Genomic DNA, 15,089 nt, shown 5'->3' on the forward strand with positions numbered 1-15,089 from the left:
TGCCTATGTACATTTCAAGTATAGGCCAGAAATTAATCCTCTGGGGCGTGGTCCTGGACCCTCAGACAAGAGGAGAGGTCCTCTGCTAGGTGCCCCATAGTATCCTTTGTTTTCTCCAACTATGGCCTTGTATTAGTTAGGAAAATGTCATCTGCAGAGACAAGGCCCATCATTTCCATGGCTCCATGCAATAGAATTTTATTTGTCACTCATCTAACCATCTTCTGCAGGTGCTCCTGACTGTTAGGTGAGTTTCTCCACAGGGTGAATCAAGGCCCCAAGTTCTTTCCATCTTGTAGCTCTGCCATCCTCTAGGGCCTCAGAGTGCATAGCATCCAGCTGGAGCAGAAGGGAGGGGCCGCAAAGTACATCTGCCCCTCACTGCCCTGACACAGAGGCATCCCATGTTCCTTCCACTCCTGTTCCATTGGCACCAACATGGTACCCACTAGTTGCTAGGGACAGCTGTCCAATGATAAGGTTATAATACAGAAGGAGGAACACACATTTTAGTGGGCATACAAGCCCCTAAAACAGCTAATTGTAACTTCCTGTGATTCAACTAGACTCTGAGCTCCATGAGAAAGAAGGTGAGAGTATTGCTACTATTGTACCCCTTTTTCCCAGCACCATGCCTGGCACCTTGGTGCAGGGATTGCCCCATGAGTAAGAGCAGTTAGTGCTTGGCTGGAGGAGGAAGTGGGTCACATAGACAATTCATCCCCTCGAAGCCCTTCCCCTACACTGTGAAAGAGTTGGGGAGAGAGAGGCAGCAGGCAGATAAGCTTTCCTTATCACTGCTGCCAGCCAAACCCCTCTAAAAAGCACCGACTCCCTTCACAGACAGAGGCATTCATTATGAGCAGAGAGCTTCCATAATCACAGGTGCCCATGAAGGCATGAGCCCCCTCTTGTATGGTGAGGCCTTCTGATTAAAGACTTGTTATTAGTACTTTATGGGGCAGAGGGCTAATGTACTGCTGTTAGTACTGGCATTGCAGCTCCATCTCACATCTGGCACCTGCCTCTGAGTCCAAGGAGGTGGGTGGTGAATGAATTTTCCCTGTCTTTATCAGCTGGCTATGTCTTTGGAGTGTCTCTTCACAAGTCATTTTTTGTGTGTGTATTGGTGTGAGTGTATAATAGTAAGAAGGCAATCACCTACCAGATTGTCTGGATAGAAAAGAAGGAATGAATAGACATGATGTGTAATTGACTTATGAAATTGGAGAGATATAATTCACTATCACAAGCAGTGTGGTTCTATTTCTGAAAATCCTCAGGTAGGACAGTAATATGCTGACTTGTGAAATTTGGGTCATCTACTTTACAATTAGAGGCCCTAAAAGTGGCCCAAAGTAATGACACAGATGATTACAGTCAGGGGCCCCGTCCCCACCATCCTACATTGGGAGGAAGTCTGGTATTCTTCTCCCCAAGGGACCCCTGTTTCAATAACCCCAAGAACCCCAGGGCTGACTCAGTCCAAAGGGGCCAGTGTTAATTACTTTCTTCTGTCTGCTACTGTCATTGTCTTTGGTGTCACAACAGAAAAAAGGGAGTCTGACAGTCTCAGGCAGTCCCCAATCAGTGCAATGGACATTGTGGAGGTTGAGGTGCAAATGGCTGTTTCTGGTCTTGCCTATTTTCTCAGGGTTTGGGGGAAAGGAGCATGCCTTGCTTCTCCCTTCCCAGGGGTCCTTCAGAGGTGGGCACTGTAGGCCCAGCAGATGCTAGCCGGGTTACAGTTCCCTGGTGAGACAGTCATGTCCCAGGCAATGAGCTTTTCATCTCCAGTAGAACCAGGGCAGGGCAGAGTAGTCTGACTCTATGCCCACTCTGCTCATGGCCCAAGTACCAGCCCCCTGGACCTGGTTCTGTAGGCCTTCAGAGTTAAGTTGATTGTAATCTCACTGTCCCTCACTAGCCTTCAGGTTTGGTTATGGCCACTCCAGGCCTTACTAGGCACCTGTGACTTTGAACCTCAGAGACCTTGGTTTTTTCTTCCGGCAAGGTCCAGGATATCCCCTTCCCTGAGTCCCTTCCCTGAGACCACGATTTTCCCAAAACAGTGCAGCAACCTGCAGAGACCACAGCAATCGCCACGCCTATGCCCTGATTCCAATGGGGGTGAAGGGTGACAGCAGTAATGGGTGGCACAGGGTGGGGATGGGGAGTCCTGGTGGGGTCCAGAATGCCAGGGGCTGATAGAGCAGAAAACTAGAACCTGCCCAGGAGGCTGGAGGCTGGAATGTGGCTCCACACCTCCAGCACATACTCCATTGTCCCTTGGACTTCACTTACAAAACACAAATTCAAAGATAAAATTATTAAGAATTTTGATTTGGTGACTGCAGAACATTAAGCCTTAAGTGTGAGCCCTTCTCTGTGTGTGGCAGTGGTTGCAGGAAGCCTGAGAAGCTGGCTCTGATGTGCGTGATTGGGAAACTACCTTTGCAAAGATTATGACTATGAGAGAGATCTATCATAGCCATGCTTGCTTCTATTGTACTCCATCCTGCTTCTAGCTTCACAGGCTGGCTGTCCTTGCTCATGCCTGGATGTAGGGCAAGTTAAATATGGGAAGAATTTAGTTTCTAGTTCAACTTTAAAGCAAGGAAGATAGTATTCCCTGCCTAAAACTGATCCCCTCTTTGTTTAGGGACTGAAACTGCTTTTGTAAAAGTAATTGATAACCATGTGATTAGGATTATGGGAGAGGCCTGAATTCTGCTAAAATGCAGGCATAATTTCTATAATCCTTTACTGCTCAGGAGTCATATGGCCAGAGGTCACAAGATTTGTTACTTCCCCAATTGTTCTTATACATAACATCACTATTGTAGAACCTAAGATTATCACTGGGCACTGTGGCTCATGCCTGTAATCCCAGCAATTTGGGAGGCTGAGGTGAGTGGATCATTTGAGGTCAGGAGTTTGAGACCAGCCTGACCAAGATGGTGAAACCCCACTTCTACTAAAAATACAAAAATTAGCTGGGTGTGGTGGCAGGCGCCTGTAGTCCCAGCCGCTCTGGAGACTGAGGCAGGAGTATCGCTTGAACCTGGGAGGTGGAGGTTGCAGTGAGCCAAGATTGCACCACTGCACTCCAGCCTGGGTGACAGAGATTCTCTAAAAAAAAAAAAAAAAAAAAAAGATTGGTCTTTGAGATGTTTTCAGACTTGTACCTTCTGGCAACTGACTGATCCCACATGGACTGATGACTCATCACTCAACTGGTCCTGTGGCCTCCCACCCAGAGGCAGACTCAGTGCATGAGGACTGTTTTCCACACCCCAATGATTGCATCCCCAACCAATCAGCAGTACCCATTCCCTAGTCCCCTGTCCAGCAAGCTCCCCTTGAAAATCTCTAACGTCTGAGCCTTGGGGAAACAGATTTGAGTAAGAAAACTCTGGTCTTCCATTTAGCAGCTCTGCATTTATTAAATTCTTTTTTTCTACTGCAAAACCCAGCAGTTCTCAGTGCATTGACTTTTCTGGGCAGAGCGCAAGATGAACCCATAGAGAGATTACACAGTGACCTGGCAGCAAGACTGTAGCAGTGTGGGTATGCAAACCCCACACCTACTTTTGACCACCAAAAACTGCTGATATTCCCAAAAGGAACTTGAAAAAGAATTGATGAGGCAGCTTTGCTGTATCTTTCTTTTTTTTTTAGATGGAGTCTTACTCTTTTGCCCAGGCTGGAGTGCAATGGCACCATCTTGGCTCACTGCAACCTCCCCCTCCCAGGTTCAAGCTATTCTCCTGCCTCAGCCTCCTGAGTAGCTGGGATTACAGGCATCCACCACCACACCTGGCTAATTTTTGTATTTTTAGTAGAGCCAGGGTTTCACCATGTTGGCCAGGCTGGTCTTGAACTCTTCAGGTGATCTGCCCTCCTCGGCCTCCCAAAGTGCTGGGATTACAGTCGTGAGCCACTGCACCCAGACTGAGGCAGCTTTGCTATATCTTTCTAGCCCTTCTCTATATTTGTAATCATTTTAAATATCTTTGTGCTTCCTTATATGTTGTCAACCCATTTTTTGTCTTGTCCTGAAGGTAAAGGCTTTGGCTGTTCCCACCATCTTCCTGGCCTCAGCAGAGTGCCTGGCTCTGACTGGGGCTCAGTACAGCATCAAGTACCTTCTAGTGAACAGTTGGTGAGACACTTGATTTGTCATGGCTGGAAAAGAGGGGAGACAGTTTCACAAATGTCCCTAAGAACCAACCAACCTGCCAGTTGTCTGGTTATGTCTTTGAGTCCACACCTAGTATTATCTTTAAGTTGCACTAAACTTCTGAATATTTCAGGCCGAAGTTAAAAGAATTCTTGCTTCAGTATGTGGACTACTTCTGCCTTCATCCATTTTCCAGGCTTGAATTGGTCTGAGATGGGAGAAGGCTGAACAAGTTTGATGCACAGTGCGAGGGCACAGAGGAAGGAATGAGGGATTTGGTATCAGATAGCCTTGAATTTGTACTCTGGTCTTTCCATTAAAAACAACAATATGCTAGGTAAGTGTTAAGCTTTTGTGAACTATGAATCTTCCCTGTAAAGTAGGGATAATGACACTCTCTTTGTAGGGAGATTAAATAAGATCATATATATTGAGATGCCAGGACAGCTTCTGGCACCACAGTAGGCAATCTGTATACAGAGCAGCTAATATTGCCTTCGGCATAAGAAAAAGTATTAAGTGACATTTGATTTGGGATTTTCCATTAGTTGCTCTCTTGTTCCCTTTTCTCTGATATTACCACCCAAAAATATCAGTGACTTAAAACAAGATGTTCCTCTCCCTTATACTACATGTCTGTAGTTGGTAGACTAGGTACTCTGCTCCATGTGGCCACCAGCCTTGCTCTGACACCCAAGCTGATGGGACTTTGCTGGTAGGGAACCCTCTGGTGGATCTCACACCAGCAGCTAAATGCTTGGCCTGAAAGTGACACGCATCATTTCTGCTTACAGCTCATTGGCCAGAACTGGTCATGTGCTTCAACCCCACTGCAGGGGACCAGGAAGTACAATCTTACTGACTTAGTCCGTTTGCGCTGCTGTGACAAAATACCACAAACCAGGTGGCTTATAAACAACAGAAATGTATTTCTCGTAGTTCTGCAGGCTGGGAAGTCTGAGATAAAGGCACCAGCAGATTTGGTGTCTGGTGAGCGCTGGCTTTCTGATTCATCTGGTTCATAGATGGTGCCTTCTTGCTGTGTCCTCACAGCTGGAAGGGGCAAAGCGTCGCTCTCAGGCCTCTTTCATAAGGGCACTAATCCCATTCATGAGAGCTCCACCTTCTTCATCTAATTGCCTCCCAAAGGCCCCACCTCCTAATACTATCACCTTGGGGGTTAGGATTTCAACATAGGAATTTTGGGAGTCACAAACACTCAGACCATAGCAGTTACCATGTGCTCAGAAGGGGGACAACTGGGAATATTTGGTGAAAAGTGAAGGGGAAAAAATAATTTATTCTGTCAACTCTCATAAGTTATTAGCTGGGACACCTCTGCAACAAAAGACAGGCCGGATGCAGTGGTTTGCGCCTGTAATCCCAGCACTTTGGGAGGCTGAGGCAGGCAGATCACTTGAGGTCAGGAGTTTGAAACCAGCCTGGGCAACATGTTGAAACCTTGTCTCTACTAAAAATACAAAAATTAGTCAAGTGTGGTGGCACGTGCCTGTAGTCCTAGCTACTCAGGAGGTGGAGGTTGGAGGATGGCTTGAGCCTGGGAGGCAAAGGTTGCAGTAAGTTGAGATTGCAGCACTGCACTCCAGCCTGGGCAATAGAGCCAGACCTTGTCTCAAAAAAAAATAGATTAACAAGAGAAAAGCAAGTATTTTTATTTTTAACATCCATTACACAGAGAAATCTCAGTTCAAAAGCATCTGTCAAAATGGTGACTTTGGGTACCAGCTTATATAGCATATCAAACAAAGGACAATAATAAACAAAGGGACCTCGGAGTCAAATGGGCCCCCATGCCATCCCCCTTTCCTCATTAAACTTGAAACTTCAAGGTGAATTAAAACATTTAAGGCCTGGCTCAGGCATTAGCCCATCTTCCCTGGAGCAGTCCAGCCACAGACATCTCTCCCTCTTCCAGACTCCTGTAACACAAGACACTTGTCTTGTCCCTTTATTAGCAATTGTCAAATATTGTCTAATTATTAAGATAAGTTGCTGATAAACATAGATTTTCCTTGGCATTGCAAGGTGCACAAATCTTAGCCTTGGTGGTTAGGTCACGCTGTACACAATCTGTGATTGCCCTTCTTTCCATTAAAGGTTTCATTATGGGCCATGTGGGATTCTGAATTGCGGACTGAGGCACAAGCAATGTCTTATGGAAATCACTGGAGACTAGCAGTGTAGATGGTAGACATGTGACACAGGAGAAAGGGCATATGAACATTTCTTTCTCACATTCTTTGTCAAATTTGGAGTTTTAATATTCCATCTCAAATAAAACCCTGCTGCACAGTATAGGTGTGGAGCTCAGGGTTGTTACACAGGGAACTAGCTGGGTTAGGGGAGGATGTCATTGAGCCCATTTTAGGGAGAAGATTAGGCCCAAGGGCAGGCCGTTTTGAGCCCTTCTCACTTTGAGGTTGCCATGGCCCAGATGCTGTTACCTTTAGCTCTGTCCACTCTAGGGGTGCTGAAAACTGCTCCCTACATCGCAGTGTCATTCAGGAAATCAGGAGCCTAAGGGACTGGAGTATACATTGGTAGTCCCTTCCCAGCATCCATTTCCCCTTTTTATTCCGAGGCACATCTGCTTTAGGGACTCCAAATGTCCTTCCAGTACCTGTTCTTCCTTTCTTACTTAGTAACACAATCCTGATTTTTATCTGAGTGCTTTGTCTTTGGGACAAAGACTATATTTTTCTAGCTTCCTTTGCAGCTAGGAAAGGCCATATGACTAAGTTTTGGTCAATGTGATATAAGTGGATGTATTGTGTGACACTCCAGAAGGACAACCTAAAGAAGCTGACTGAGCTGAAAAGTCAACTTCTCTTCACTCTTTCCCCCTTCATCTTTCTGCCTGGAGTACAGATGTGATGGCTGGAGCTCTAGCAGCTATTTTGGATGGAAAACACCTACTGGAATAGTAGAGCAGGAAGTTTAAAGGTCCTTGTTTCCCTGATGACTGAACTGTTAAAGCTGTCATATCAGCCTTGGGCTTTCTACCTTTGCACTTGTCTTAAACGAAAGAAAAATAAACTTTTGTTTATTCACTTTTATTTGGGGTTTTCTGACATATGCAGCTAATCCTATCCTAACTGTTACTGTCCCCTTCATGTCCTCTCAGGGGAGCTGAGGCTCTGTGGCTGGAACCTGGGACTTAGGCCTGAATTAATCAGAGCAATGCACTCCACTGGCCGTAAGTATATTTCAGGAGTGGGCATATGACCAGTCAGAATGAATCCTGGACTCAACAATGGGAGGTTGTGAAGCTGGAGCTGTTGGCAGCCATCTGGAGGGGACAGTTTGTCCTGGTGACCTTATGGTATGGTTCACTGTGTCCCCACCCAAATCTCATCTTGAATTGTATCTCCCATAATTCCCATGTGTTGTGGGAGGGTCCTGGTGGGAGGCAATTGAATCATGCAGGCAATTCTTTCCTGTGCTGTTCTCATAATAGCAAATAAGTCTAATGGTATCTGATGGTTTTATAAAGGGGAGTTCCCCTGCACATTCTTTCTTGCCTGCCACCATGTAAGACGTGACTTTGCTCCTCATTCACCTTCCACCATTATTGTGAGGCTTCCCCAGCCATGTGGAACCGTGAGTCAATTAAACCTCTTTCCTTTATAAATTACCCAGTCTCTGTTATGTCTTTATTAGCAGTGTGAGAACAGACTAATACACATTACTTGAATCCTGGATTAAGCTTTGCTTGAAGTTAGACCTATCTCTAGACTTTTCATATAAGTGGGCCAATATATTCTCTTTTTGTTTAAGTCAATTTAAGTTTTTGGTTGCTTGTCTCCAAAAGAGTCAAGTTTGATTCTGGTCTTTCTATTTGGTTTAATTAGTCTTAGTGCTTAATTGGTCTTTCTACTTTCACACTTGCCCTGACTGGTGTTGTCTTGGTAACCCTCAATGCTTTAACAAATGGACCCCAGATTTCTTGGATCACTTCTTCTCATATTATTTTGGCAAGACAGGTTAAAAGGCCACACCTAACTTTGAAAGAGTTTGGGAAATGTAGTCTAACTGCACATGCAGAAGGAAGAGGAGAGCCAGGACCCTGCAGCACCATTAGCCCTCCCTGCCATCCCACCCTCTAATCCCTCCTATCTCCTGCAGCCACAGTGGCCCTTTTGATATGTGAATTGTCACATGTCATTCCCCTGGATAAGGTTCGTCAGCAGCTTCCTGGGAACTCAGATTCTCCTCCATGGTCCGTGAGGCCCTGCCTGATCTGGCTCCTGCCAGTTCTCTAACCCCCATCTGAATCCCAGGAGTGCCCTGGCTCCTTTCCCATCTGCCACGTTGGCCTCAGGTCAGCTTCTATGGCTTGCTGGGCCTTTCCAGCCTCAGAACTTTCTACTGCTGAAATGCCTTTCCCCCAGTTTTTCATAAGGCTGGCTCCTTCTCACCCTCCAGGAACCCTCTTGAGAGTGACTTCCTCAGAGAGGCCTTTCTGGAACACCCTACCCAATATAGGTCTTCCCTCTTATTCTTTTTTGTTGTTGTGGTTGCCCAGGCTGGAACGCAATGGTGCGATCTCAACTCACTGCAACCTCCTCCTCCTGAGTTCAAGTGATTCTCCTGCCTCAGCTTCCTGAGTAACTGGGGTTATAGGGGCCCGCCACCATGCCTGGCTAATTTTTGTATTTTTAGTAGAGAAAGGGTTTCATCATTTTGGCCAGGCTGGTCTTGAACTCCCAGCCTTAGGTGGTCCGCCCACCTCAGCCTCCCAAAGTGCTGGGATTACAGGAGTGAACCACCGTGCCCAGCTTCCTTCTTATTCTTTATCACAGGACTAAATTAGGTAATGGTTTATTTGCTTCCTATTTTTAGTCTGCCTTCCACTCTAGAATATAAGGTCCAGGATGGGGTGACTGTGTCTGTCTGTTCCATTCCATCTGCAGAGCACCCACCTTGCAGAGTCTGGTACACAGCAGGTGCTCAAAGGGTTTTATTGAAAGAATGGATGGATGGATGGATGGATGGATAGGTGGATGGATGAATAGGTGGATGGATGAATGGATGGATGGATGGATGAATCGATGGATGGATGGATGGATGGATGGATGGATGGATAGATGGACGCATGGATAGATGAATAGATGGATGGATGAATAGATGGATGGATGAATGGATGAATGGATGGATGAATAGATGGATGGATGGATGGATGGATGGATGGATAGATGGATGCATGGATAGATGAATAGATGGATGGATGAATAGATGGATGGATGGATGAATGGATGGATGAATAGATGGAGGGATGAATAGATGGATGGATGGATGAATGGATGGATGGATGGATGGATGAAGTGTCTTTCATGCCCATCTGTGGATGCTGGAAAGTTAAAATGTACCTTCTATTTATAATGCTACATAACATTAAAGAAGTTTGCCAGGGCCTGCTCTAAAATGTCCGCCAGAAGGAAGGGAGGGAATGGAAGCCATTCATATTCCCCCACAGAGCCCCTGAGTTTATTGTATGTTAGAGGAGGGCTTTGCTTTTGCTTTATTTCTTATGCTCTGCATACTAGTGGAATGAAGCCCAGGGCACTGGGCAGTGGAAATGTGAGCACCTACTCCAAAAGGCACTGCATCAAACCAGGCACTAGGAGTTGCTCTCCTCATTCTGCCCACTTGTCACACATTTGTTTAGCATAGTTGCTGCCTCAGCATCCATGTTTAGGCCTAATCTAAGTTATTTGAAACCCGATGTATCCTGTCATCTTTGGCCTGGTTACAACTTCCCCTCCCTTTGTGGTTGTTTTTGATATAGCCTGCTCATTTTTCATCTTACTGACCCAAAACTCAACACAGCCCACAGCTGCTCACCACGATCAAACCTAAGGGTCAACACCAGTCACGTAAATACGTTTCCCACTTTGTGTATGTTTTCTTTGCACTAGCCAATCCACAACCCCCAAGGGAAAGCCTAAGGAATGATGCCCATGAATCTTAATAAAGTCCCACAGGTCCTGTCCCCGCTGCCCCCCAATGGTTGAGCTCCATGCCATCTCTGGACTTCTGTCAGCACTCCTAACCTTTCTGGGACCTGTGAGTAATAAATTTCTTCTGTTCATGCATTTTGGTTTCACTTTCTGTCGTTATCTCACATGATACACACACACAAACTTAACCCCCTCCCATCTGGCCTCTCTTAGAGAGCAGCTGTCTTGATTTATAGCCACTCCTAACAGGAGGAATCCTACCAGTAGTCTCTTAACTGAACTAGGAGCACAGCTTCCTTGCTTGTGTCTGGCCCCTGGAGCTTACATCTCAGAGGCAACTTACCTCCAGCCCTGTTCTTTTCTCCTGTGAGATGTCCCAGTGAGATTTAAAATGTCAGAAATCTGGACACTAAGACCATTTGGATTTTGGCCAATGGACCTTAAGATGCCAGGAAGGGTCTCACCTGCTCTTGAAAACAGCTTTTGAATTTTAATTCTACCTGGAAGGTGTAATGGGAGCATTCCCTTGTGCTTTTGGAGCTCACTCACAGGCATTGAGGTGTTCCTAGCAGCCGAGGGAAGGAGGGAGATGTCAGGCAAGTGCTTTGCCCAAGGTGACTTAATGAGTCAGGGCTGGAATGGGCATCATGAGGGCAGGCGCTGAGCCTGCAGACTGGGTCCTACCCTTCCTACGCACACACACACACACACACACACACACACACACAGACACAGACACACACACACACACCTCTTCTAATGGGATATAATAAAATACAGATAAAGAAGCTCCAGAAGGAAAATTCCTCCTGTTAAAGTTTGCTGTGTTCCTCCCACATGGCCATTCTGGCTCCTCAGAATGTAATACAACTGCGATCTTCTTTTCACAAAAAGATTACTCTATGTGTCAAATTTACAAAAGAATTAAATTAGGAATTGATTTAAAAAAGAATCATAACAACGGTTCTTTAAACAGAGAGGTACCTTGGAGGCATTTCAAATGATTTGATTTATAAACACTTAATTTGCACACAACCTTTCAGATAAATATAATGTGCAGGGAGGAAGGTAGATGGATGTGATTTGTGTGGGCGCAATGTACCTGCTGCTTCTAAACCTTGTATGTATTTCTGTGATTCAATCTATCATAATTTATGTGTTGTGATCACTTGTTTTCATGTCTGTTTTTACCATTACAGTGTGAGTCTCATCCTGGCAGGGAGTAGTATATCTTGATCGCCTTTGTCTCTTCAATACCCAGCAGGGTCATTGACAGCAAGATTTGTGTCTTATTTTCTTTCTACCCTTAGCACCTACCTTAGGGACTGTCATTCAGGAACACAAGAAAATGTTTTTTGAATTGAACTAGGTAAGTATGATTTTTCCTCTTAGAGAGTAGTGTAGATTTTTGTACTTGTAGAAGGCTTCTTATTGGGATAGACCACTAAAACTATTATTTAATGTTCCCAGTCATAGGCCATCTGTAGGAACTCTGGCTTTCTGCTGAGGGGTTCATTTATTGAATGCCTATCATGTGTCAAGCACTGAGCTATAGCTGGAGATACAGTGAGTGAGGCAATCAGATTTCTGCACCTGTGAAGCTTGCAGCGAAGGGGCATGGCAGAGAAATAAGAAATAGACAACAATGGTGGGTAAGATTGGGGAGAGGGTGCACAGGCAGAGGGGAAATAATGTTTACTGAAGGACAAAGAGGAGCTGGCCATGCAGTAGGAATGGCAAAGACATTCCATGTGCAAGGAATAGAAGGCAATTTGGCATAGCCAGAGCACAGAGAGGAAGGCACTGAGAGGGAAGAGACAAGTGGTGGAGGTTGGCCAGGGCAGGCTGGGAGAGGCCGTGTTGCCTGTGTGGAAGAGTGTGGAGTGGATCCTGAGGGAAGATGAGGGAAAGTGCGCATGGTGGCTCTGGCGGCAGTATGGAGGATGTATTGGAGAGACTAACACTTGGAGTTTGGATTTTTAATGTCCAAGGAAGCATTTTATTGTGGAAATAAACAAAAAGACCAACCAAATGAGAACAAGCAAAGGCTGTTTATTCAGAGCTTGCTCTAGCAAGGGACTCAATCTCTGTCATTTGAGTTTTGGCAGAGACTCAAAGGCAGGCAGAGGAGTGGGGAAGTTTTAGAGTGGAAAAAGAGAAGGCTTCAGTTATGCTCTGACTGGAGGCTGTTGGCCTGGGGAAGCTGCAGGTGAGCTAAATGGAAGCGGGCACCCTATGGCATTGCTTAGGGGAGCACATTTGGTTTACTGTGGTTGGTTCTGAGTTGGAAGCAGAGACAAAAACTAGGAAAGCTGTCAGTTATTCATGAAGTCCTGGCCATCTTGGGTTGATTGTCACAGAAGTTATTGTTTGGCTTCTTGCATTGTGACTAGAGATAGCAGCTTGACTTCCTCTAAGTCTGACTTGGAGCAGGTTGGCTTCCTGTGCTGGTTATTGTGGATAAGGGGTTGGTTTCCTGGGCAGGCTGCTGCTGCAGGTGTGAACCAGAGTTCTGTGTTTATATAGGATCTGGCCATTGTTTGTCTGGATATTCGGGCTCCCATTATCATTAATGAGAATTATTTATTTATAGTTACAGATATTTAAATTAGTGTTACAAATAAGAGCAATTACTTTCATTAATGCACATTAAATATCCTTAAAAATTATTCCTAATCATGAAGTTAACCAATTAAATTATCTTAAACATATTGTACTGTGTTTATTTATCTACTTATTATATTTGGCTTTTTTCAAGTACTCCATGTGCCTGATTGGGAAGATTTACAACCCTAAAAGGCAACAGTTTTCTAAGCATTGAAATATTTCTTGTAACTATAATAAATAAATAAAAATTTTTTTGAGATGGAGTCTTGCTCTGTTGCCCAGGCTGGAGTGCAGTGGTGCGATCTTCGCTCACAGCAACCTCTGCCTCCTGGGTTCAAGCGTAAATCAAAATTTTAAATGTTTCAAAGCATATTATTTTAAATATTCCAAAAATCTTTATCAACCTGATCAAATATTAGTATATCTTTAACAACTTAAAAAAAAATCCCAAATCTGAAAATCACATAGCTTTACCAATATGCCATATTAATCACTGTATTTTTTTGAGACAGGGTCTCACTAATAAGAATTAGAATAAGAATTATTTAATCTTTGTAGGGGTGGGTTGCCCCTCCACACCTATGGGTGTTTCTCGTAAGGTGGAACGAGAGACTTGGGAAAGAAAAAGACACAGAGACAAAGTATAGAGAAAGAAATAAGGGGACCCGGGGAACCAGCGTTCAGCATATGGAGGATCCCGCCAGCCTCTGAGTTCCCTTAGTATTTATTGATCATTCGTGGGTGTTTATCGAAGAGGGGGATGTGTCAGGGTCACAAGACAATTGTGGGGAGAGGGTCAGCAGACAAACATGTGAACAAAGGTCTTTGCATCATAGACAATGTAAAGGATTAAGTGCTGTGCTTTTAGATATGCATACACATAAACATCTCAATGCTTTACAAAGCAGTATTGCTGCCCACAGGTCCCACCTCCAGCCCTAAGGCGGTTTTTCCCTATCTCAGTAGATGGAGCATACAATCGGGTTTTATATCGGGACATTCCATTGCCCAGGGACAGGCAGGAGACAGATGCCTTCCTCTTGTCTCAACTGCAAGAGGCATTCCTTCCTCTTTTACTAATCCTCCTCAGCACAGACCCTTTACGGGTGTCAGGCTGGGGGATGGTCAGGTCTTTCCCTTCCCACGAGGCCATATTTCAGACTATCACATGGGGAGAAACCTTGGACAATACCTGGCTTTCCTAGGCAGAGGTCCCTGCAGCCTTCCGCAGTTTTTGTGTCCCTGGGTACTTGAGATTAGGGAGCGGTGATGACTCTCAAGGAGCATGCTGCCTTCAAGCATCTGTTTAACAAAGCACATCTTGCACCGCCCTTAATCCATTTAACTCTGAGTTGACACAGCACATGTTTCAGAGAGCACGGGGTTGGGGTTAAGGTTATAGATTATCAGAATCTCAAGGCAGAAGAATTTTTCTTAGTACATAACAAAATGGAGTCTCCTATGTCTACTTCTTTCTACACAGACACAGTAACAATCTGATCTCTCTTGCTTTTCCCCACAAATCTTCACATGTATTCTATTATTATTATGTTTAGATAGGGTCATATGGTTTGGCTGTGCCCTGACCCGAACCTCATCTTGAATTGTAAGCCCCATAATCCCCAGGGGCTTAAGGGGAGGGAGGGACCTGGTAGGAGGTGATTTGAACATGGGGGTGGGGAATCATGCTGTTCTCTTGATAGTGAGTGAGTTCTCACAAGATCTGATGTTTTATAAACGGCAGTTTTCCCTGGGCTTTTCTGTCTCTCCTGCTGCCTTGTGAACAAGGTGTCTGTTTCCCCTTCCGCCACAATTGTAAGTTTTCTGAGGCCTCCTCAGCCATGCAGAACTGAGTCAATTAAGCCTCTTTCCTTTATAAATTACCCAGTCTCAGGTATTTCTTTATAGCAGTGTGAAAATGGAGTAATATACAGGGTCTCATTCCCGTCGCCCAGGCTGGAGTACAGTGGTGCGATCTCAGCTCACTGCAGCCTCTACTTCCTCGGTTTAAGTGATCTTCTCAGCCTCCTGAGTAGCTGGGACTACAGGCACATGCCACGCCCAGCTAAGTTTTTGATTTTTTTTTTTTTTGGAAAAAGAAGGTCTCTCTATGTTGCCCAGGCTGGTCTTGAACTCCTGGGCTCAAGCAATCCTACTACCTCGGCCTCTCAAAGTGCTGGGATTACAGGCATGAGCCACCATGCCTGGCCTAATCACTGCATTTTAAATAACAGTGGTACACAGATTGTTCTGAAGATTACAAATCCTAGTCCTCTAGTTAGTGGTATTAAATTATAGATTTAAAAAATAAATAAATT

This window comes from Homo sapiens, chromosome 3, assembly GCF_000001405.40.
Source record: "Homo sapiens chromosome 3, GRCh38.p14 Primary Assembly".
In the NCBI taxonomy this organism is placed as follows: Eukaryota; Metazoa; Chordata; class Mammalia; order Primates; family Hominidae; genus Homo; species Homo sapiens.